This window comes from Homo sapiens, chromosome 18 (assembly GCF_000001405.40).
Source record: "Homo sapiens chromosome 18, GRCh38.p14 Primary Assembly".
Taxonomy (NCBI): Eukaryota; Metazoa; Chordata; class Mammalia; order Primates; family Hominidae; genus Homo; species Homo sapiens.
Window position 1 is genome coordinate 52042024 of NC_000018.10, and position 26788 is coordinate 52068811.

The 26788-nt window shown below is 36.3% G+C and overlaps 1 long non-coding RNA gene across 5 annotated transcripts in view, besides 1 other annotated feature; it reads left to right on the top strand.

Annotated features, from left to right (window-relative positions):
- Positions 4192-6118: an enhancer, noted in NCBI's record as "VISTA enhancer hs1384". NCBI's record gives its function as "enhancer in: neural tube[9/11] | hindbrain (rhombencephalon)[9/11] | midbrain (mesencephalon)[9/11] | forebrain[9/11] | nose[6/11]" and the evidence as "EXISTENCE:transgenic organism evidence [ECO:0001131][PMID:17130149]".
- The window catches only part of LOC105372121 (uncharacterized), a 175442-nt gene continuing 154885 nt past the window's right edge, over positions 6232-26788 (top strand). For 3 of the 5 annotated variants that reach the window (XR_001753538.1, XR_935473.1, XR_935474.2), the window contains exons 1-3: positions 6233-6286; positions 6449-6620; positions 13917-14019. This is a non-coding gene — a long non-coding RNA (uncharacterized LOC105372121). Of the gene's footprint in view, positions 6287-6448; positions 6621-13916; positions 14020-14364; positions 14408-26788 lie in introns of those variants that run through there. The other 2 variants (XR_001753540.1, XR_001753539.1) reach the window with 2 other exon arrangements.

Sequence of the window (26788 nt, forward strand, 5' to 3'; positions counted from 1 at the left end):
GTGGTTCCCTTTAATTTATACCCTGTAAACATGTAGTGGGATGCCTGCTCTTGAGTTTGGCAATGGCTGTTAATTCATGATCATGAATAGTAAAGCACTCTCTAAAGGCACCATGTGGGAATGAACTTGCTATAGCAAGTTTAATCCTGAACAGAGATGAAAGAGGCTGATCTACCGAGGCAGGCATTGTCCTCATTTTCCTTCAGGACTTCATGCAAGTCTCTCTCAGGTTAAATACTTGCTGATTATGCTACCATGTCCAAAAATGGGGCTGTATCATTCTTTCATAGAAGAGAGATATAACTTAAACATAAGCATGCAATACTTTTGAGATTCCCACATTTTTTTGATGGTAAAATTAGATTTAAAGACATTGTTGAAATGCACATGATTTTCAGTTCAAAGCCCCTCCCAATGTTGTCATTTTTCAGGCATGATTATTCCCATTTTCAGTTATGGCAACTTCTTGTGGAATGTCAGTTTTATAGAAATACCATACGTTAATGAAATATAAATTTTTGGCAAAATAGTTCCTTGCAATTAAATATCTCTTTAAAAGGAAATTTACTGAAACCTTTATTTCTAAACCACCAAGGAATGAATGTAAGTAAGCAAACATTAAATCAGAGTGCCTGTCATGACAAATTAAAAAATCTCAAAGTTAAAATAACCACAGAAGTAATCAACATGATATGGAAGAAAGAGAAGGTGAATGACAATTGTAGAATAATTTCCACGGCCATATCCTTTATAAGCAGGATGAGGAAACAGAAGCCCAAAAAAAGTATTTAATGTCCAAGGTCAAGCAGATATATGTGGCAGAGCAGAATACAGGGTGCAGATTTGCCTGTCTCCAATTACGTTTTCCAGTGCCACTGCTAATTTCACCCAGGATGGTAACTTCTACTTTGGAATACAGTTCCTGTTCTCCCACTCACAAGCTGCATGGCCTTTGGATAAGTTTCCCACATATATTTTACAAAATTCAGGTTTATTCAAGTATAATTTATAAAGAATTTAAAATATGATTCACTTATTCTAAGTTCAATGAATTCTGACAAATGCATTCAGTCTTGTAATCACCACCACAAATCAGGTTATAGAATATTTCCACCTTTGCAAAGTGTTCACCCATGCTACTTCAGTCATGACAAGAGAGTGGAATCCTATTCTTTCCTGCTATATATGCTATATACAAGTATTAATCCTGTAAATAGCCCAAGAAACAAATAAAGGGTGGTTAAAAAAAAAGAAAGTGGTTTGGGACCTCAGGTCCACAGAAAGAACACAACCCTGGGGATCCTGCCTTCCCTCACCCAATGGAGCAAGGCTACCCAGACCCAGTGTTTTCCAACCCACAACCTAGCTAAAAAAATGCAGCTCAGGTAGGCATATGTCTCCCCAGATTGAACAAAGTCCACCTGACAGCATCAGAGGATAAGTAGAGAGAAAAAGAGAGGGAGGGGGAGAGAAAAGGAGGGAGAGAGAGAGAGAAGGAGATAGAAAGAGAGAGAGAGGGAGAGATATGTGATCACAGCAAGGAGCCCAAAATGGGAAGCCATTTGTCTCCATGGGTCAGAGACTCTACTCTTCCACCCCGAGGCAATGGAACAAGCAAGTGAAATGGAAAAAAGGGACTCCATCCCATCAAACAGCTAATCTGAGATGTCCTTTTCTCTTCATGGGTCCAAGGCTCTCCTAACCTGCTCAAATAATGGGCAGGTGATCAGAAACAAAAAGAGAGCCCTAGTCACAGCAAGCAGCACCAACAGGAAGCCTCTCTTCCCTAGGGAGCTGAGGCTCTTTCTCTTTTCAGTAGATATCAGCAGAAGTATACAAGGGAACCAGCAATAGCTAGTGGCCTGGTCTGGAAGCCTTCTTTGTCCCCATGCACAAGACTCTGCTCCTCTTTTCAATGATACTACAGCAGCTACAGGGGCAGTGGTAAAGAGATCCCACCATACCCATCTCCCACCAAGAGATACCTGGAGGCCTTACCTAGGGAAATCTATTTTACCCCCTCAGGCAGTGCCAGCAATAACCAGTGAGACCTACTGTCGACACCAGATAGGCCAACAAGAACAAACTAATACTGCAAAGACTATGAACATTAAACTGCCATTGGAATCATTGCCCTCAAGAGTAGGACAAGACTTATATGCTCAAATTCAATATGGTTACTGTCTGCCAAAATAAAATATTTAAATGGGACCCAAGCTTTCCTAACATAATAGACAAAATGTCTAGGATGCAATAAATAATCACCAGTCCTACCAAGAACCAGGAATATGACAATGTAAATTTAAAAAGATAATTAACTGATACTAAAACCAAGGTGAATCAGATGGTGGAAGCTTAAAAGGATGTTAAAGTAGCTGTAATAAGAAAACTTTAATAATTAATTATAAATTTTCTTGAAATGAAAAATAGGAAATCTCAGTAAAATAAAAATGAAGTTATAAAAAATGGAAATGATAGAGCTGAGAAAATACAATAACAGAAATTATTACAGAAAACCCATGGATGGGATCAGCAGTAGAGGAGATGACAGAGGATCAAATTGTTGAACTTGAGGACAAATGAACAGAGACTCAGTGGCCTATGTGACAATTGCATAAAATCCAACATTCATATTATTGGAGTCCCAAGAGAGGAGAAAGAGTGGCACTGAGGGAATAGTTAAAGAAATAATATCTGAAAACTTATATTTGGTGAAATACACAAACCTATAGATCTAATAATCTGATGAAATCAGAGTAAGTCCAAAAAAATCCACACCAAGTCAATTCTACCCCCACCTCATCCTCACACCTGTCTAAGGTCTTTTAGAATAAAGAGTGATTACTAATAGATTAAAATGGTGGCTAGAGACCTAGCGCTTGTTAGAAAAACTCAAACATGGTGTTTTTCTTTGCATAATGTTGAAAGCTTTGTACCACTTGCCTCCAGATAAACTTCCTAGCCTCATGAATAGCTACTCCACTCAACTATGTCTATACCAGGTTTCCTTTCCTCTTACCTTCTTGCTGTTTTCTAAACTTCTCAAGTGATTTAATGCTTTGATGCATCAGTGTGTTTTATTGTTATGCTGTTCCCTTTTTTTTGAACATACTTCCTCACTTTCTACCTTATGGATCTCCACTTTATCTTTCAAAATTCAAATCAAGTCAACTTTTAATATTTCTCTGTATCGTTGCCCAATGCTGTGAAACAGTTTTTTCTTTGCTTTGTTGTGAACTCACTTTCTGTGGGACTGTATTAAATAATTAGCAATTAGCCAGTTGTGGTATAGACATCTGCTTTGGAAGGAATGCTCTTTTGCTTGAGTATGAGTAGTTTCTCAAGAAATAAGAACTGTGTCTTATTTTTCTTTGCATTTCCTAAGACCTAATAATAACATTTGTTGAACTGAATTTACCAAATGTGGATTTAATTGTTTTGCAATATCCAGAGATATTCTTTGAAATCTCAAACATACAATTATTTTCTTTATCACTTTAACACTTTATCAGTGTTGCAGGTTGTATGCTCTGGAAGCAGATACTGAGAAGGAGTGTGCTGTGTGAAGTGTTTATTAGATCAATAACTTTGGAAGGAAGAGGGATGTGGAGCTGTGATGTAGTCCTAATAGAATCTTAGCTAGTCTCGTAGGGTTGCTTTCCAGAGCTTTCTCATGTTGGGTCAAAGACCCATTTTGGGTTGCTGGGTCTTTACACCCTCATCTCAGTCAGCATTTGGATGTGGGCTGTTTCCAGAGGGCATGACTTTGGATGAGGCAACTCTCCAAAGTAATTCATATAGCTGTTGACAGCTGGAAGCTGTCTGCTATCGGTTAGGGTGACAATCTTACCTTGAAGGAAAGAAGGATCTGGGTGGCACATCTTCAGGTCTACCAAGCTAATATTTATTTTGTACCATGTACCAGAATACTGCAGAAAGATTTTATGTACGTTATCTTACTAATTTTCAACTTCTCTTTACAAAGAAGATATTATTATTATTCCCATTGTACAGGTAGGACAGCAGCCTAAGAGGAGGTAATTGGCCTCTCCGCAGTCATGCAATGAGTATGTGGTAAAGCTTAGATTTTTAACCCAGGCAGTCTTACTCCAAAGCTAAATACCATTTAACCACAATGGTATCCTGTGAGAGCTACATTGTTCATGACTACAACTCCTTGAAACTTGATAATCCACAAGCAGTGAAGAGTTTTCTATTAAAATAGAAAAAGAATGTCAACTTGCCTTTTATTCTAAACATATGTGGACATATTTTATTAAGCAGATACTTTTTGTTTGTTTGTTTCAGCCGGTGTGGTGTATTCTGATATGAGGAGAATTTCTCTTTTGGTCTTGGACATATTCCTTAGACTGACATGTCACTGGGCCAATATTTGAGGTGAGTCTTGAACTAGCCTTACCCGCCTACCGTGTTTGTGTTAATGGAACATGCTGATTGAAGTACTGAGAAGCTGTAGGAAGCCAGAGTGTTCCCATCAGCATTTGTAGGCTGTCCAATTTATAACCTTCTAGGGACTAAGATGAAAGTACAGTGGTCACAATGTTGCTCTCAGCCAAAGAGCTTTTCAAGATCATAATTCACCTTTAGATTTCCATGCACCTGTAGGTAACTGTGTCAATTAGCACTGATGAATTCAGTAGTGGACCTCATTTTCCCTCGGTTATCTTTTAACAGATTTATATTAAATAATCAAATAAACATTGAACAGGTGTGATTAAAAAAAATCCTTTGCCTTCCCAATCTTACGTGTTTATGGACATGGTAATACTATATATTTTTTATTTTAGAGATTTTCAGTTTTTCTATGCCTTATCTTTTCTCATGGATAGCTGGAATAAAATAAAGATAGACTGTTCCAGTTATTATTAGAGGTGATAATTTGCAGGCTAAGTGTGTTGCTATGGATACCTAAGAACCCCCCCCGCCACCAAAGACTCAGGCCTGGGAGTCAGGGCCTAATCCTGAGGTGTTTTTCAATAGCACCAGCTGTCCGGAGCCTGAAAGGCGTGGCAAATTACACCATTATTAGAGTGAAATGGTATGGCTAAGCTAATTATTTGTGGGCTTTAGACACAGGTGTTCATAAAAGGCTGAACGTGCACTCCTAATCAAGTCTGATTGGGCTAGAACAGCAGCCCAGCATGGGACTATCAAAGAGTTGTTTATAGTGTCTTTCATTTAAATAATAAAAGAGGCCACTGTAGGCCTTCTGTTCAGCAGAGTTTTTAATGTTGCTCTGAGTTCCTCATTACAGGTAATCATATTTGGTATCTCCGTTTGACTTCATCCAGTCATGGAAATCTGTTTTCTAATAATATTTTCCTTGATAGTCATATAACAATTTTAGACACATTAGCCATTCCATGACTATTTTTGGTTAATGCTACTTTTAGCAATGCAACGTAACTTTACAGAATGGAAGATTAGAACTTCATCACAAAAATGATAATCTGGCTACTACTCATCAAAGAGTTGTTAATATTTCCATTTTATTACCGGTGATATTTCTTTGATAATTTTTGTGCTCATAATGCAGTAGCAAGTTTGGTTCAAAATATACCTTAAAATTTTTCTCTCATTTAATAGTATTTGATTTATCTAATATTTGAATATCATCAGTTGCTAAAATGTATGTTTGCTGAGAAATGTTATGTGGGTTTGTTATGGTGTGATATTGTACTAAGCATGGTTAAATACTCTTCCTAGCAAAGCAAATCTGAATTTTTCAATCTTTGCTTCTTTAAAAATAATGAATACTTTTTTTGATGTCCATACTTTATAAAGAAGTTTGCATTTAATAGTTACCAAACAACCATTAAACATCTAATATTTCATTTTCAAATAATAATGATGTAGTAGATTCATTACTCCAACAATTTACAAGGAATTGACTTGTCTATTTTAGTTTTCCAAGTCTAATCCAGCCCATGAGTATTTTAGAAGTTGATATGATTGGTATTGCTATATAATAATGTTGAAATACCTGGTAGGTATTTTACTTTTTTAAAAATTCTACATCGTCACAAATGCTTGTAAATTTATAAAATGTGAAAACATATTTCTTTAGAGAAGTAGCCTCTGCTACTGCTATTGGATGAAGATATACTTACCCACTCTCTGTAGGGAGAGAGTGGTCTATTAAGAGAGACAGATGACCTCATAAACGTGTCTATGTGCAGATCAATATGATGGCCTAATATGAGTGTAGATACACTCTCGGATGATTGAGGGAACTGAGTTTTGTCTCTGAGTCCATTCAGTCAAGGTATTCTTTCTCTTTGCAATTCTTCTGGGTATGGGAGAAGGTAGTTCTCAGAAAATAATTGTGAGGTTTTTAAGGACAGTAATTAGTGGCTTTTATCTTACGCAAAGGTATAAGACTTTCTAAATTATAGGTAGAAAGCAAATATGTTGCCTTCCTACCCAGATCTGTAAGTATTGTGCACAGAAAAGAGGATCCTCTGAGGTGACCTTGGCAATGGATACCTTGAAGCTGCATTAGTTGGGTGAATTAGCATTCAGTTAAATTTCAACAATTATCTACTGAACACCTACTGTGCTTGCAGTTCTGCCAGAGAAAGGACTGGAATTAGACAAAGGTAGGTAGCCACCAATACTAGTGCTCTTTCCTTTTCTTCTAATAAAATATATTTTTGGCTGGGCATGGTGGCTCACACCTGTAATCCCAACACTTTGGGAGGCTGAGGTTGGTGGATCACCTGAGGTCAGGAGTTCAAGACCAGCCTGGCCAACATGGTGAAACCCCATCTCTAGTAAAAATTCAAAAACAAAACAAAACAAAACAAAAAAAATATGATCCAGGCATGGTGGCAGGTGTGTGTAATCCCAGCTACTCTGGAGGCTGAGGCAGGAGAATTACTTGAACCCAGGAGGTGGAGGTTGCAATGAGTCAAGACTGTGTCATTGCACTCCAGCCTGGACGACAAGAGCAAAACTCTGTCTCAAAAAATTAAAAAAAATATATATGTTATAAATAGATCTTTATAACGTATATATTTTTAACATATATATATATTTTTTTTCTGCTGTCATCTCTCATAACCCAGAGATGTAACTAGCCAATCATTTATGGGGAACTTAACTATATCTTGCCTTTTGTGATTCTGTGGTGGTGAAAAATGCCTGCTCATTTACTGTGAAAGTAACATCTCTGGTGAAGGGAAATTCTAGATCTCTGATGATGATAGTGAGTTATCTGAGTATTGGTTAAAATTGGATAGGATATGCTGTGGTAGCAAACACTCTGAACTCTCAGGAGCTAAACATGGCCAAAGTTTATTTCTGCTTATGTTACATGTTATTTAAGGTAAGCAGGTGATTCTGCTCACTTTAGTCATAAGGGGCCCATGCTGATAGATACTGCATTTTGACTCCTACTTCTATAATCTTTACAATAGAGGGAAAGTAAATCATGGCTCTTAAAGTTTATGTCCTACTGACACAACTAACTTCTGCTCACATTTTATTAGCCCAGCACATCATATGGCCAAGCTTAAATCCAAAGGGCAGGATCAAGAAAGCAGACAGCAGAGAAAATAGTTACTGAGCAGAAATAATGACGACTATGGCACCCTCTAAATCACTTTTTTTTTTTCTTTCTTTCTGAGGCCGAGTCTCACTCTGTCACCCAGGCTGGAGTGCAGTGGCTCTATCTCGGCTCACTTAAAACTTCACCTCCCAGGTTCAAGTAATTCTCTTGCCTCAACCTCCTGAGTAGCTAAGACTATAGGTTCCCACCACCATGCCCAGCTAATTTATGTATTTTTAGTAGAGATAGGGTTTCACCATGTTGGCCAGGCTGGTCAAGAGTATAAAGAAACCTCAAGTGATCCGCCTGTCTCAGCCTCCCAAAGTGCTGGGCTTACAGGCATGAGCCACTGCCCTGAATCACTTGTTGTAAGTGAACTCTTTACAACTAAACTGGCTCAAGGACTAGTTACCTAACTGGTACCTAATTAAAATGGAAACACATGTAAGTGATATAGGAGAAGAGATTGTATCAAGATATCAGATGTGTATCTACCCTTTCTTCCTTTTTGAAATCTCTCAGAATGATAGAAATATAGAAAAATAATACTATATATGGAACAGGGGGAAAGATTCCCAAGAAAATTCTTAACATAAATATCTATATTGGAAACAAATGGTTTAAAATTAAATGAGTTAAACTTTCAACTAAAGAAATAAACAAATATGAAATACACAAAGAGCCCGAAGGAAAATAATTAGTGAATGTGTTTAAATTAGTAATAATGAAATAGAAAATATTAAATCAGTAAATTTGATCTGTTTAAAAAATCTGGCTCATTTAATCATCAATAAATAGAAAAACTATTGGTAAATCTGATCATGTTAAAAAGGAACACAAAACAGGCAATATTAGATAAGAGAATAAGTATACACAGTCATAAATACAGATATCAAGCAAATTTAAAGCTATTAGAGAATAATATGCACAGCTCCATGCCTAAAAAATATTATCTACTTAAATTAATCTTGAAAAGGTAGAAATACTAATGGGATAAACAACTTTGGGAAAAAATGGAAAAACTGTCAAAACCACCTAAAAAAAGTCACGAAGTCAAATTAATTTTGTGGATAAGTTCTACCAAATTTCCTTGAGAAAAATACCTTTGTTCTCTGTACTATTTCAGAGCATAGAAAATGACTTAAAGCTACTAATTTTCCACAAGCCAGATGAGGAGAGTGTATATTCACAGAGAGAAAAGAAACCTAAAACCAAATCTCATGTATTAAAAAATGTGAAACCAGGGACAATGGCTCATGCCTGCAGTCTCAGCCACTCAGGAGGCTGAGATGGGAGGATCACTTGAGCCCCCAAATTGGAAACCAGCCTGGGCAATACAGCAAGACCCTGTCTCAAAAAAAAAAAAGAAAAAAGAAAAAAAATCCAAGAAAACTATTAGCAAATGAATACTGGATTGTATTAAAAGAGAATTACATTGGAATCAATTAGGGCTAAAGTAGAAATGCAAATTTGACTCACATCAAAAATAAAATTGCTCACAAATGGGTTAAACAACAAATCTCAATAACGTCCCAAATTAGAAAATCTGACATGTATGTAGATTTTTTTAAATGACTTAACATTGTAAGAGTATAAAAAAAACTTTTTAAGGCTGATAAAGCAACTACCAACAAAACATAATAGACATACTTAACGATGAAACAGTAATTCGACAAAAGCCATTAAGATGGTAGCAATGTCCACTGTCATTACTGTGAAACATGCTGAACATCTTGATTCAAGTAATAAAATGAGAAAATGAAATGGAATAATATAATGGAGATAGCCAGAAATAAACTATTTGTCTATTTGTCAATCCATCTACTTGATTAGAAAAACAATTTTAACCAAGGGAAAATGATACAAATTGACATTTGACAGGAAAGTAAAACATAAGAAAATTAAGAACAGAGGTGCTATACTAACTGAGGTCCTCCAGAGAAAATAGAATTAATAGGATCTTCTTTTTCTGTCGCTTTAAGGAATTGGCTCACATGATTGTGGAAGCTGGTAAGTCCAAAATCTGCAAAGTACTTTGGCAGGCTAGAGACCCAGAGAAGAACTTATGTGGCAGTTCAAGTCTAAGATAGTCTACTGGCAGAATTCTCTCTTCCTTAGGAAATGTCAGTCTTTTTCCATTAAGGCCTTCATCTGATTAGATGAGGCCCACCTATATATGGAGAGTGAGCATTATTACAATTTTGTGGGGTTTTTTTTCTTCTTAAGAAATTGGAAGAACTTAAAAACTGGAAATTCACTTAAGAATTAAAAAACAAACATACTTAACTTTACCCATAAGCAGAAATATAACAAACGAAACAGCGATTTGTTACTTTATACCCATCAGAGTTGGCTAAATTTACAATTTTGATAATATTCAATGTTGACAATGATGTGAAGTTACTGGCACTCTCATCTACAGCTGGTTGGAGTAGAAATAAAGAATACACTTTGGGAGAGGGTTTTACAATATCTATCATTTAAAGTATGCATACTTTCAGACCTAGCTATATCAAATTCTAAGGATTTAATCTGTACTGCAGAAGAAACTCTTGCCCATTTGTACCAGGACAGTCATTACTTCATCATTTGTAATAAGGAAAAATTGAAAGTGACCTAAACACCCACCAGTAGAAAGAGGTACATATAAAGTTATATGTAATGAAAAAAGCAAATCACAAAAAAGTACACATACTATATGTGTAAAGTAAGAAAGTAGATATGTGCTACAAATATAGATGAATAATATCAAAGTATCCTGGGTTGTTGTTAAAATTTCATGCTTTATCTAGAAAGGGAAAATTGTGATACGTACATGGTGGATCTGTAATACCCTCTTTACCTTCCCGGTCTTCAAATTCATCTTTACCTCCACCAAGTCAAGGCTTACACAGTTATAATTGCCTCATAACATTCCTCCTTGGGAAATTTTTATTGTAACAAGAAGGGATAAGAAAGATATGTGCTCTAGCAGTAGAATTTTAGAAATTAGCATTCAAGTGCAGAGATGAAGGTAGGTGGAGGGTGAAGTAGGACCTTTCTTGATAGCCCTGAGAACATATCCCTGGCAGTAAACACTCCAGTACTTGGAAAGGTTAGTACTGATTGGGGATGAGGAGCACAAGGTCAGAACCCATGGGGAACAGGGAACAGTTAAGAGAGGGTCTTTCTGACTAAGGTAAGCAGTGAAAATTTTAGCTGTTAGACACACACAGAGTAACTAGATAAAAAGTAGTTGAGGGGAGTAATTGTGGAGAATGGTAATTTTTCAGGTCTCATAAGGGCATGAAGATAATAAGAACCTGGGTAAAAACAGCCAACACCTACATAGCAATGACTCTGAGTCAGATGCCAATCTGAGCACTTCATTTGTATTATTTCATTTAATCCTCACAAAAGTCCTTGACAGAAACACTGTTTATATAATCTCCATTTTACAAGTGAAGAAAGGGAAGTAATATCACTTAAATAAGTATGTAACAGAGCAAGGACTTGAACCCAAACATGCTGGCTCCAAAGCATCTGCTCATTTAGCCGCTGATGGAAATGGGAAGTCAGGAAATTTAGATGTGGTGTTAATGGAATCTTTCAATATCTTTGCACTGAGGTTGTATGCTGATGTGTGGAGGTAAAAAAAAAAAAAATACCTCTCAGAGGACAGGGATAGTCACTCGTGATTCCCTCAATATCCTACACCATTTCAGACTTCAGGGCTTTTGCTGATGCTGGTTCTTCCTCCTTGCAAATACCTCCCCCAACCCATTTTTTTTAACCCAATTAGAATATTCTTTTCTGTATGAAGCACTTTTGTTACCCAGTGTAATGCCTACGTGACGTAGATGCATTTCTACCTCACCTTAACTCTGCTTATCTTTAGGATACAGGATGCCTGAGGTCAAAATTTCCCTCTTGTGACCAAACTGGATAAACTCGTGGGATCCAAGATGGTAGCTCAACCTCTGAAAAACTTCTAACTTCATTATAATCTGATTTCCATGATAAATGACACTCCCACCAGCACCATGACAGTTGACAATCACCATGACAATGACCAGAAGAAACCATAAAATGACCAAAAGGAAAGCTGCACTCCAGTTTCAAGGAGTTCTCTGCCCATTACCAGAACAGACATGAATTCCTCCCTTTGTTTTTTTATGCCCAACCCCTTCATTAAAAGCCCTGTATTTGTGACTTCCTGCTCTCACAAGCTGAGAAGTTGATTGGTGAGCCAAGCTCTTGCTTCCCAATTCCATGGCTATTGATTAAAGCCTATACTGCTTGACACTTCAGTTTTGCATACTGTCTTCATGGCACCAAACAGGGAAAGACCTCATTTTGAGTAACCTGCTTTAGCAGTAATGCTTTCTTACTTTGCCTCTTCCTTTACAATTATCCAAGCCCCATTGTATTTCCAGCATACTTCCAGCCTGTGATTGTCAAACAGTGCATTAATTCATTGCTGAGCGTATCTTCCCACTGGGCTCCAATAGCTGAGCTCCTTGATGGCAGGCGGCTATACTGGTGAATTAATCAGGCTCTTTCCCATGGTGAGAAGCAGAACCATACTATGCCTGGCTCAGATAATGGGGCTAATTACAAGAATACACAGAGCAGTAAGAAGATAGAAAATACTCCCAGAAGCTTCCTATTGGCCATTTTACACTGGGCCAGTCCCTCCTCCCTGATGATGGTGCTTTACCAGTCTGATGTTTCAACTTCTGTCTCTCTCTTCTACTACAGCTGATTTTTCTGATACTGACTCCCATTTTTAAATGCATATCATATGCAATTTTCCCAAGAGATTTAAATCAGTCACCACTCAGAACAATGAGCCATTGTTGACTATCATTCATGTACAATAACACCTCAGAGATCACTGGCCAGAGATCAGCTAGTCATATTTTTGTCAGGCACTGATTCCTATACAATCTGTGATGACTGAAGAAATGCAGTCATGTAATACCATACCATGGTGACTCATGGGTAATAGATCATCTGGATGAGTTCCACCAGAGGATGGCTTAGCTATGGAAGGCATTAAGATCACCATGTCCTATGCAATTATAAAGCTATTTGTATGTTCATAGAATCTAACATAGTCCCTCTCAAACACCAGATACTAGATATACATTGGTTTAGTGTGAAAGAAAATGTTCTGAAATGACAAAAGAAATATCAAAGAAAGAAGAACACTAGTGGTTTTTCTGAATTCTTTATTTATTCAATCATTTAGCAGTCATTTGTAAAATGTCTATTAGGTACAATAAGTATCAGACAATGTGCCAGGTATGAGAGATACAAAATTGAATAGGATGATGTTCCAGACTTTGAGAATTTTAGTTTAATCAAAGTGACTGGCAAGCAAACCTACTATTACGATGCAGTATTATAAAGTAATGTAGAGGAACGTCACTGTATCCCAGCCTTGAGAAGCAGAGTCAGGAATAGTTTGCGCCCCCAAATCTCAAAAGTAATCAGGGTGAGGGAGTGGGAAGTGAAAAGAATTTGAAAATATGCTTTGAGAGAGCTTATCACAGAAATCACTGAGTCAGGGAGCTGGAAGAGATTTTTCAAACGTTTACATTAAACCAAATTACTTGTTTCTAATTACTCTCCCTTGAACAATGGCTGTACATTAAGGAAACCCTCAAGTGAGCTGAAGCCTACCCAAGCACACTTATTGGAAAATGATCAAATAGCAGGATGTGAAGGACTAGGTTGTCTTTTCCCTCTCCCTTTTTTCAAGTTAGTTAACAGGACTGTGCTACTGATCTCCTCCTCTGCAGTTAGCGATCCATATGGTGTGCACATACTGTAGACATTTAACCGAATTATCAGATTGCTCCGGCTTTCTACCACTTTTATTTCATGGTTTCTAGATAGAAAGGCCTTGAGAAAGACAGAGTATGTGCATTGGAGAAGCTTTACATGAATAGGTTGTTTTTTCCATCCTTTTTGTCTTCACATCACCTTCCCAGCTGGGAAGGATATTTTGAGTGGTTGTTAGTAAATGGAGTTGATCTTCCTATGGCTGGGGCAAGATTTTCCCTGTAGAAAGTTACTAAGTGTTAGGAAAAAAAGGGGAATATGGAGATACCAAAGGCTTCTAAAATAGTGGGACAATGGTGAGGTATTTGGAGCCATTTTCCATAACCAGAGAAAGTGCTAAGAATGTTTAGCTCAGACAAGTTAAAGAGAGAAAGAGGTGGACGCATGCCTGAAGAACTAGAGCATATTGTGGGGTCTGGAACATATAGATTGCCATGGAGTGCTCAAGAACATAAAATGAGGACCGGGGCCAACAATTATAGCTATCTAATACTTGAATGGTCTGCCCTTATTACAGTGAATCTCCTGTTTCTGGAATTATCAAGAAGACTACAGAAAATTATAGGAGTGACTCCGAAATGCTATGGAAGAGATTCCTGCATTGTCATGCATAAAGGCAGGTGAGAGTGAGCCTGGTGAGGTGGCCTCTTAGGGCCCCTTCCAAACACAAGATTCATTATTTGAGGTACAATTGAAAGCTTTGTCTTCTATAAGAATATCTCTCAATATCTGGTCAAAATGCTTGAAATACCCACATGTATTCATTTTGTTTGTGCAAATCCTGACTTATTTCAAAACATTTTTACTTCAGAAATTTCTATCCTTATTAAGTGGGGCATTACTGTCACTTCCTGAAGGCCTGGTTTAAAAGCAAGCATGATTATATATCTCCTTAATGATGTCATTTGACCCCATACAACGACCTATGTGAAAGAAGTAGATGAGATATTATTCCTGTTTTACAGATGAGGAAACTCATTTCAGAGGGACAATGCTACCTGGAGAAAGGAAATAGGGCTCATTAAGATATCATGGCACATTAATATGAACACATGAATTTCCTCATCAGAGGAGCTGCAGGCTTGTGTTGGTCCATTGTGTTGGACAAACCACAAAATGGACTAACCCAATAAAGCTGCTGGGACTGGACACAGGAGCATCTTTACGGATATGAAAGATCAGAAGGCTTTGAAATCCAAGGTCTTGCTGAGGCAGCACAAGACCACTAAGTATTAATGATCAAAAACAAACATTATCTTCTTCCCAAATTTGTATAGGGAATTTTGAGAACTTACACAATAGGAGTATACTGTAATAGTAATTTACATGCATTTTCTTAGATATTAGGTTGATGCAAAAATAATTGAAGTAATTGTGTTTTTTCCTAATAGCACTTAAAATTATCCTATGAATATCATTATCTCCATTTGAAATGAAAACATTGGTTCCTCAAGGGAAACCATTTTTAAAATAAAAGGACAAGCTACAAATTAGGAGAAGTTTGAAACCTATTGCTATACAGAGTATATAAGGAATCATAAATCAATTGGAAAAAGATAATACCTGCCTCCCCAAAAGTGTGCATTTTAGATTCCTCCAGGAAAACCTGTTTATTAAGCAAATCTGAATATATCAAACTTAAAGCTGCAAGGAAGAATGTCCCCTTTTCAAAGTCTTAGTGATTATTCAAAAGGAGGAAGTTAAGAAAGGATGATTATAGGGTTTGGTATCCGGGCTTAATGGTTTGGGTAGGTCTTTCAAAGCAAGAAAGTAGTTGGCATCAGGCAGTTTGATACATAGTAATTTAGAGCTGCTAAACATGATGGGCAAGGGTCTTAAGTTCTTTTGAGTAAACCATTGTCCTAATAAGAGAGCTGTTTTTTTCCATATAAGCAAACCGCTCAAGTAAATTGGTATGCAAGTAATATGGTTTGGGTGTGTATACCTTTCAAATCTCATGTTGAAATGTGATCCCTGATAGATGCTGGAGGTGGGGCCTGACAGGAGGTATTGGATCATGGGGGCAGATATCTCATGAATAGCTTAGTGCCATCCCCTTGGTGATGAGTTTTTAGTTTGTTCACAAGAGATCTGGTTGTTTAAGAGTATGGGACTCTCCTTCTCTCTTTCTTGCTCTCTTTCACCATGTGATACACTGGTTCCCCCTTCTCCTTCTGCCATGATCGGAAGCACCCTGAGGCCAGACCAGGAGCAGATGCTGGCATCTTGCATCTTGTACAGCCTGCAGAACTGTGAGGCAAAATAAACCTCTTTTTCAAATTAATTACCTAGCTTCAGATATTCCTTTATAGCAACACAAAATGGACTAACAGCAAGAAATTCCCGATGCTAACAGTAAAATTATGTTGACCCAAGCCATCTCATTTTTTAGTCTAAGAGCTATGTTGGGAGGTCTCAGGTTTAGTCCCCTTGTCCTCCCTCTTTGTAGTCTTCTCCAGCCTGAGCTTTCAGTTACTTGTTTTTCTATTATGTGTATTATTTTCCAGTTACTTTCAGTGGGGGAGCCCATCATTACTGGGAACAGAAGTAAAACATACATTATTTAATTTCCAGATATTTTGGGATTTTTCCAGATATCTATCTGTTATCAATTTCTACATTGATCAATTTGTGATTAAATAACAGAATTTATAGGACTACAGTCCTTTTAAATTTGTCAAGGTTAGTGTTATGGTCCATGGACATGTTCCATGTATATTTGAAAAGATGATTTATTCTGCTGTTGTTGAGTAGAATATAAATGAAATTAAATTGGTTTACAGTGTTGTTCAGATTTTCCATCTCTTTAGTGATATTCTGTCTATTGGTTCTGCCAATTGAGAGAGAAGTGTTGACATTTTGTTATAATTTTGATATTTTATTTTATTTTATTTTTTGAGACAGGGTCTTGCTCTGTTGCCCAAGCTAAAGTGCAGTGGCATGATCTTGGCTTACCGCAACCTCCATCTTCTAGGCTCAACTGATCCTCCCACCTCAGCCTCCAAATAGGTGGGACCACAGGCACATGCCACCAAGCCTGGTTAATTTTTGTATATTTTGTAGAGATGGGGTTTTGCCATGTTGCCTAGGCTGGTCTCAAATTCTTGAGCTCAAGTGATCCACCCATCTTGGCTTTCTGAAGTGCTGGGATTACAGATGTGAGCCACCCTGCCCAGTGTGATAATATAATTAGACTGCAATTAAAATATCCTATTTTAATTATAAATTATTTTATATAATTAATCTTTCACTTTTATGAGTTTTGCTTCATGTTTTTTTAAGTTCTACTGTTAGATGCATACACATTTAATATTGTGTGTCTTCTTGATAAATTAATCCCTTTATGATTTTGTAATCATCGTACTCTCTGGTAATTAATATTCTTTGTTCTGAAGTCTACTTTGTCTCACATTAATTTTTCCATCTCTCTTTTGATTAATGTTTTCATATAATGTCTTTTTTCATGTTGTTTTTAGCATTAACGTATCTATTCTTTACAATAAAAGTTGGTATTTTATAGATGACAAATAGTTATGGTTGTTACCCTGCTTGACAATCTCTGTCTTTTACTTGCAGTATTTAAACAAGTTACATTTAATGTTATGATTAGTATGATTGTATTTAAATCTACCATCTTGCTAGCTGTTTTATACTTGTCCCATGTCTTCTTGGATCCCTTTTCTTCTTTTTCTGACTCTTGTGAATCAATTATTTTTTCCATTGCTATTGTTCTGATAAGCTCACTCTGTACCCAGATAGCAAACTCTTGTCCTTATAAAACCATTGTTTTTCCAAATTTGCAAACTATTTGCCTGGATAAAGTAAAGTGCAAGAATTTTCTAAAGATAACAGTGCAGTTATTTATTGCAAGGAAGAATGTCCCCTTTTCAAAGTGTTAGTAATAATTCAAAAGGAGGAAGTTAGGAAAGGATGATTATAGGGCTTTGATATCTGGGCTTAGTGGTTTGGGTAGATCTTTCAAAGCAAGAAACTAGCTGGTATCAGGCAAAGTTTGATACATGGTAATTTAGAACTGCTAAACATGATGGGCAAGGGTCTTGCTATCACATCTTTCTTCATGATGTTTACCTAGAGCAAACAATTACATTATGTTGACACAGGTCATCTCAGTTTTAGCCCCAGTAACTAGGTATACTTTATCTACAGAGTAAGAAAAGAGATAAAGTATAGCATTATTACACACTTGAATATTATACAGTAGCAAACATTAATATAGCATATGAATTAACATGAAATTGATGAATCTGAAAAACAGTAAAGAGGGCTGGTTGTAAATGAATGCCTCCAGTATGAAATCATTCACTTATGAAAGCCTAAGTAGTAATACTACAAATGCAAGCAGGGAAATGTTGAAAGCAAAATCCAAAAGAGTTCCGTGTCCCTTCTTTCACAAGGAAAAAGAGAAAGTTATGAACAGGGAGTGTTACCGTGGGAGCATCAGTAATGCTGTCCATTTATTAAGATCAGTGAGCTATTCATGGTTCTTCAATTTATATATGTTTAAATTCAATATACATTATATACTTCTGATTTTTCAAAACACATTAAGAAGGCAAAAATGCTTACTTGTATAGTTCCCAAAACATAATCTGTCACCTTCTTTCCTTTCTAATGAAGCATCAGCTGACATTCAGTCATCAGGAAATCTGGGCATTTTCAAATTGCCTCTATACTCCAGCCCTCAGTTTTCTCTCTGCAAGATAAGAAGATAATGTTGTTATGATCACTAAGGTATCTTACAGAAATAAAATCCTTTGATTTTTATTCAAACCTACTGAATGCATACTTCTTGGTTTCAATTAATTGCTGTGTTCTAATTACTTATTTGTGATCCTCAGACTTCAATTAAGTAGAATATTAAAGAGATTGGATATAATTTTCAGGTAGATGGTAGGAATAAAGGTCAAGAAACACCCCTTTGTTTAAGTAGGTAGGTGGAAATATGAGCATGCTAAACTTTACTTCCAATAAAAAGCTGCCTGGATCTGAATATTTTTTGTGTGTATAATTTTTGATATTCTTCATGGAAGATTTGCCTTCATAAGAATTACAAGGCTCAGGATACTGGAAACCGGATTAACTCTCTTTTCTCCTTCAATTCAGGAATTAATTAAACTTCGATTTCTCTCTGTGTGGTTAACATTAATAATTGACACGGGAGTGTTTTTCTGTGATTTCCTACAAGCTAGCATTTGCCATCATGGAAGTATTAATACTATCACACCCACTAATCAAGGGCAGCCTGTGTGTTGTGTGAAATCATAAATACATAGCCGTAGGGACCTGGAAATAATTGCTAATGAACTTTAGTCTCTCTGACAGAGCACACAGCCTTGGACCTCTAGCCTGCCCCATTGTTTCCTTCATTCCCCTAATGTCAAACCCTAACCAAATACTCTGGAGTTTCCTCTCTTCCCTACCTTCTTTTCTGTTTGTTCCCCACCTCAGAATGCTCAGACTACAGCCACCAGATCGAGACTGCTCCTTTCCTAAAGATTTGGATTTGCTAGCAAGGGAACTTAGAGGCAGGAATATTGCATCTGACTACAGCTTTAAGTCCCCAAAGAGGCAAGGCCCCCTGAGACCCTCTTCAGATGCTAATATTCGCACAAAGTGCATTGGCCCCAGCTGGCCTTCACCTGCAGCCCTGACAGGCAGGAGCCTTCAGAATGAGATCCTGGTTTCCATAAAAATAGGAAGGGCACACATGGTAAATAACAGAGATCTAGCACAAGCTATAAAATGATTTGAAGTCTGCTTCCAGACAGTTAAAACTAATTGCTGTGAACACAAAGCCCAGACAGGAGTGCCCCCTCCCCTTTACTTTTTGTGATTCACGTGAGATGGGGTGACTTGAATCTTCTGCTAATGGCCACACCTAAAATTAATCAATGCCACTAAATTTAAGATGCAGCCATCGTTGTTAATATTCAAATATGTTTTAAGCACAGGAGAAAAGTGCTGCATGGTAGTGTGACACATATTAATGGATCATTTAGAATTGTCCTTAGCTGTTTCCTTGGTTTTATGGGGGGTACCCAGTTGAAATGTAGCATTATCATTATGATTGCTAGTCTCCTGACTGCTTTTCTATTATTGCTGGCCATAGTTTGCAGCCCGTTCATCCTGTTTTTATAAAAGAAATTTGTAAGTGAAAAGCTACTTAATTCACCAATGTATTCCAGATTATAGTAAGCTAATACCAGCCAGGAGGACTCCTTCCTTTATCCTCTCTTTTGGAACTAACTTAGAGATGAGCTGTAAAATCCTTTTTATGTCCCTCCTTTCTTTTCATATGATATGGTATATAGGATATCAGTGAGGCAGGATATTAACTAAGCTCCCCTTACCAGATCCTTTGTTTTAAGAATACAGTGATTTAAAGAAGTGATTTCCATGCTTTTTTAATTTAGAGACTCTTGACATTAAAAAAAAGTATTCACTCAATATTTGAGAAGCCTTTTTAGTTTCCATTGTTTTATAATTTACACATGGATAATATACATTCAGTAATGTCTTAAAGTGAATGTATATTTAGTTAATTGTAATTGCATCTTTATATATATTTGGGAATGATTATATGTATATGTGAAAGATGTTTATTAGGTCTCCAGATAGTGTTTAGTACATATGCATATAATTTCCAGGATGCCTCTCAAAATCTTTATGACCTTTTTAGCAGTCCTCTCTCTCTTCTGATAAGGAACTAAGAATCTAGTGGGAGAAAATTCCATGTAAGAAGTCAGCAGGCTGGGATTTTGTCTGCTTTCAGTCGTTTGTGCCCTCTTGTCCTTCCATTCAACCTCTCCATACTTGTTTCTATGCTGTAAAATAAGGGTAACTTATACCTGCCAATTTACTGCATAGGTTATAGTGGAAATGATATTCAGTAATAAGAGCTAAATATATACTTGGAAAATATAAAAACTATTCAGGATGCTGTATCTACTTAATTAGGACTATACATTTTATACTTTGACAGAGGATAAGATACTATGTATATTCTCATATTTAATTAGGTAAGAACAACTTTGAGATTCTTTAAAAAAAAGAAAATATAATGTTAAAATCAGGAAGTGGATGAAATCCCAAAATGCCTTAGAAGTTGCAATTTTTTCCCCAAAATTAATCAGGCTTCACAATAAAGACAATTAGAAGAAGAGGAGTTAAAACTTTTTTTTTCAATTTGCCAATATTCAAAATATATATATTGTACATGTGCTTTTTGCCAGATGTAGCACTTTGTTCTCAGGACTGAGATAAACAGTTGCATGTTTAATTTGACTGTAGAATAGATAATCTGTATATGAAGTATTTCCTATTCTTTTTTCTTTCTGTTCTTTTTTTTTCCTTCTTCGCATTTCTTCCAGGATTTTTCTTAGTGAACAATCTGACATTTTCAAGAACATCTGTAAAATTATAAGTATTAAATTTGGCTACCTACTGTTTGTACATAAAGATTTTATAAATTTCAAAATAATAATACTCTTGTTGATGTGGTTTAAGCTTGAGCTATTCATACTTTGGGGTTTTATATTATCATCGTCTACTTGAAGGATGAATATGTGTGACTTTTCATGTGGAAATAAAATTGTTCTCTTATTAACTTCAATTTTAGTAAGTAAATAGAGAAATAAATAAGAAAAAGGAAAATCCATATATTCTAGTACATTGGTTACAATGACTCTACTTTCTTAAATATCCTTTAAAACAATTTTGACATTATAATAACTATCTTGGACCAAAAGTTCTATGTTTATATACTTACTTTATGTTATTTCTTACAGCAAATAGTCTACTGCAGGGTACCACTATTAATCAGACTTCACTTTATGCAAAAAATTAGGGATTGTATAAGGATGTAGAAAGATTTTTTAAAATTTGTTATTGGTAAATTAAAGGGCATTTCTCCATGGATTAAAATTGATCTTCAACAGCTTCTTGTCCCTGAAGCACTGTAGTTCTTCAGTGGGCAGTCTGCAGCAGAAGGCATACCGCTATGCTTCTCTGTAATGTTAAAGTTGCCAGTGATTTGGAAGAGAGATGAAAAAAAGTTAGAGGACTGAGTAGGTGGTGACTCAGCCCTGGCATAAGGAAATGAATTTTGCTATAAATAAGTGTTAAATATCTGGTATCTATAGAAAATAATAATCTTCACATAGAGGAAAGCGATAATAAGTTTTTTGGCATATTTGTCCAGAAGATAAAACTTCTTCAGAAAATATATGGTTAAATTATAAAGATCACTTTCACTTCCAAGAATATGGAATAGACATTCTTTTCCCTATTCCTCATGCTAAATGCAATGAAAAATTCTGGACATTTTTACAGTGTAAGGCTGAAATTAAGATTCCATATTATCTGCCCTGATATGTGAAACTAGGAGAGCAGTCCCCCTGTTCTCTCCAGATATGCCCCCATCCCCTCCATGGGAAAGGCTCCTCACCCAGGTAGTCTCCCTATCAGGAAGATCAGCTTTACCACACCCAGTCCTCAAACTAATGGCTTTCACTCTCCTCCTGCCTGCAAACTTATTCTGATAAGCTAATCACATCTTCCCATGGGGACCACGGGGCACCTCAACTTCTTGCTGCTACAAAGCCTGCCTTCCATAGCCTCGACTGGTTCACTCTGTTCCCAAGTGCAACTCCAATGTGGCCCTGCATGCCATGTGGCACCCTCCTGCTCAGGGTGGCTGTGAGTGAGTATATGTGAGTCATGAATAGCTGTTGGTCTCAACTGTCAGGTGTCAAGTTTTTGGCCATCTCATACTGTTTAGGGTAAGGGATCCAAAGGTGAATAGTAGGCAAGCAAAACATATATGGAAATTTTTAAAAAAAGGCCATCTAGGGAAGTTTAGAGTCAAGGAAAGATATGGTGAGTTCCCTGTTTTGTTTTTCTGCCTCATATAACTCAGAGTTAGAGCTGAGGAAGCCAGCAACTTGGAAATGCGATGGATGTTGACCAAAAAGCCCCAACCACAGCCTTCTCTTTCTAGTCAAAGGACCAGAAAAGGGGCAGCCCATTAAGAGGAAACAAAATGTAGGCAATAGATACTCTAGTATAGCCAAACGCCACAGGAAAAGACTGTGGCACCACCCACACACATAGCAGTAAACTTTGAGTGGGGAACCTAGACTTCCACTCTCACCAGGTTGTAATGAAGTACACTAACTTGCCTGCCAGGGTGAGGTCAGAGGAGACCAAGTGGGGAGCTGGGACTATCATTCCTGCTAGATGATAACAAGCCCCCACTCTTTTGGCAGTGTTAGGGAATACAATGTGGTGACCCTGGATTTCACCCACCCCCATCCAGCAGTAAATAGGGAAATCTCCCACTTCTGGCCAGGGAGGTGGCAGTGGAGGCCTAGAAGAGAGGCAGAGCTGCAAACCCTACCCAACAGTGCGAGAAACTTCTCCCACCCTAGGTGGCCAGTGGAGGCCCAGAGGGGAACCCAGACTTCTACTCACATCTGCCATCAGTGAAGAAGGAGCACTTCTTCCCTGCTGAAGTGGTATCAGAGTAAACTTCTAAAACAGAAGGTTTAAATATGAAGTAGGTTCTTATTTGCAGAGTTCAGGTTTCAGTTTTAAAAAATTATTAAAAGAGCCAGGAAAATGTCAACTTTAATGAAAAATGACAATCAATAGATATCAATGCTGAGATGACAAGAGGTTGGCAAAGATTTTCGTAGCAGCCATCATAAAATGCTCCATCAAGAAATACTGAACATGCTGGAAACTAATGAAAAATAAAAAGGCTTGGCAGGCCGGGCATGGTGGCTCACTCCTATAATCCCAGCACCCAGCACTTTGGGAGGCCGAGGCGGGTGGATTTGAGACTGATCTCCTATTCTCCTCAGCTGCAAAACCTGAACAATGGAATTAAAGTAGAAATCAAAAACAACAACAATATAACAAGAAAAACTTCAAAGATTTAGAAATTAAGCAACTCATTTCTAAATGATCCATGGGTCAAAAAGGAGGTCTTAAAACATAGAAAATATATATTTAACTAAATGAAACTGCAAGATCAATATTGTGAGGGCACTGATAAATCAGTGCTGAGAGAAAAATATATAGCACTAAATGTGTACATAGGAAAGAGGAAAGGTTTCTAATAAAATAATCTCAGTGTATACCTCAAAAACCTAAAATAACATGAATCAGATAAATCCAAAGTAAGCAAAAGGAAGGAAAGAATAGGATAAGAGCAGAAATCAGTGAAACAAAAAGCAGAAAGCCAATAGAGAAATTCACCGAAATAAAAGCTTGTTCTTTGAAAAGATCAATAAAATTGGCAAGCCTATAGCAAGACTCACAAAAATAAGAACAAAGAAACAAATTATCAATATTAGAAATGAAACTGAGGACATTTTCTATATACCTTGCAGATATCAAAAGGATAATAAGGAAATACTACAAACAACACTACACACATATTTTGACAACTAAGTTGGTCAGTTTCTTGAAAAGCAAGCACAAACTACCACAACTCATTTAATGTTACATAGAAAATTTGAATAGCACTACAACTATTAAGGCAAATGAATTCATAATTAATAAATTTCCAAAAAATAAATCTGCAGTCCCAGATATTTCCACTAGAAAATTGTACAAAACATTTAAAAAACCAACAGCAGTTCTACACAATATCTACCAGAAAATGGAAGAGAAGAGTTACTTTCCAATTTATTTTATGAAGCTGATAATAAACTACACAAAGACAGTGCAAATAAAGAAAACTAGAGACCAGTATTTTTCATCGACTTAGATAGAAAGACTCTCAACTAAATATTAGCAAACTGAATCCAACAATATAGAAAAATAATTATACCCCATGACCAAATAGGATTTATTCCAAAATGCGAGATTGGTTTAAGGTTTACAAATTAGTAACATAATTCACCATATTAACAAACCAAAAAAGAAAATTCAGTTAATTAATACAAACAAAGGCATTTCAAAAAACTCAATACCCATTTTGATAAAAACTCTCATTAAACTAGAAACAGAGGGAAACTTCTTCAACCTGAAGGAAAGCATCTACAAAAAAACTAAAGCTAACATGAAGAGTATAAAACATTAAGAGTAAATTTAAGAGTAAAAAATGGAATGCTTTTCTCTAAAACCAGGAATAAGGCAAAGTTTTCTGCTTTCATTACTTTCATTCAAAGTTGTACTGGAATTTCTAGCCATTGCAATAAGACAAGAAAAGAAAATCAAAGTCATCCAGGTTTGAAAGAAAACAAAACAAAACAAAACAAAACAACTATCCTTATCGGCAAGTAACATAATGTTCTATACAGAAAATCCTAAGGTAAGCTTGTCCAACCCATTGCCCTCAGGCCAAATGTGGCCCAGGATGCCTTTGAATGTGGCCCAACACAAATTTGTAAACTTTATTAAAACATTATGAGATTTTTGTTGTGATTTTTTTGTTTTCTTTAGCACATTAGCTATTGTTGATGTCAGTGGATTTTATGTACGGCCCAAGACAATTCTTTTGCTTCTAATGTGGCCCAGGGAAGCCAAAAGATTGGACACCTCTGTCCTAAGGAATCTAAATAACAAAACAACTAGGTGAGTTCAGCAAGGTTACAGGATACAAGATAAATGTACACAAATTAATCATATTTTCATATAACAGCAATGAGCATGTACATACTAGAATTGAATATCATTTATAATCACTAAGAAATGAAGAAAGAAAAGAAACACCCAGGTGGTCTTACAAAATATATATGGACGTGTAAACTTAAAACTACAAATTGCTGATGAAAGAATTCAAAGAAGAATAAATAAATGGAGAAACATACTGTGTTTATACATTGGAAAATGCAAAATAGTAAAGCTGCCAATTCTTCCCAAATCGACATGCAGGTTTTATATAATCGCTTTCAAAATCTCTGCAACATTTTTGCCTTATATAGAGAAAAATACTCTAAAATGTAGATGGAAAGTCAAGGAACTAAAATAGCTAAAATTATTTTGAAAAAGAAGAATCAAGTGAAAGGAATCAGTCTACATGATTTCGAGACTTATGACACAACTAACTAATTAAGACTATTTGGTGGGATAGACAAATCATTGAAACAGAATACAGAACCCAGAAATAGACCCACACAACTATGTCCAACTGATTTTTGACAAAGTTGCAAAAGGAATTCAGTGAAGGAAGGACAGCATTTTCAATAAATGGCATTGGAACAATTAAACACCCATAAACAAATAAAGAATGACCTTAACATCCCACTAACCAAACACACAAAATATATCACCAACTTTGAAATGACACTATAAAATTTCAAAACTATACATTTAAAAAAAAAGGAGAAAATCTTTAGAATCTAGAGCCAGGCAAAGAGTTCTTAGACTTGACACTGAAGGCACCACCCATAAAAAGAAAAATTAATACATGGGACTTCATCAAATTAACAACTTTTGCTCTGAAAACATGCTGTTCAACAGGAAGAAAATATTTTGCAAACTACTATCCAAAAAAAGAATGAATACTTGGAATATATGAAGAAGTCTTAAATCTTGGTAGTATAAAAACAACAACAATAACAAAAAAACAAATAACTCAAGTAGAAAATGGGCAAAAGATATGAAGAGACATTTCATCATGGAGGAAATATACATGACAAACAACCACATAAAAGATATTTCATATATGTAGCCATTAGGGAAATGCAAATTAAAACCACAATGGAACATCTATACATACTTATTAGAATGATGAAAATAAAAAGTAGTGACAACCGAAAATTTTGGTGAGAATGCAGAGAAACTGTTTCACCCACCTATACATTGCTAGTGGGAATGTAAAATGATATAGCCACTCTAGAAAACAATTTTGCAGTTTCTTAATAAACTAAACATGCAATTACCATATGACCCAGGAAATGTACCCCTGTATATTTATTCCAGAGAAATAAAAATGTATGTTTACACACACACACCACACCTGATAAAATATTCATAACTTTTTAAATAATAGCCAGAAACTGGAAACAACCCAGTTGTCTGTCAATGAGTGAATGGTTAAACAACCTATGGCATATCCATACCATAAAATTCTACTCAACAACAAAAAGCAACACATTATTGATAAACACAACAACTTGGATGAATCTCCAGAAAATAATGATAAGCAAAGTCAGTCTCAAATAATTATATAAGGTATAATTCCGTTTATATTACATTTTTGAAGTCACAAAGTTATTGAAATGGAGGAGGTATCAGTGATTGCCAAGGATTAAAGACAGGGTGGAAGGGAGTAGAGCATAGAGAGGCATATAAGAGGAGTGGAGGTGACTGTAAAAGGGCAAGATAAAGGATCTTTCTTGTGATGGAAATGTTTTG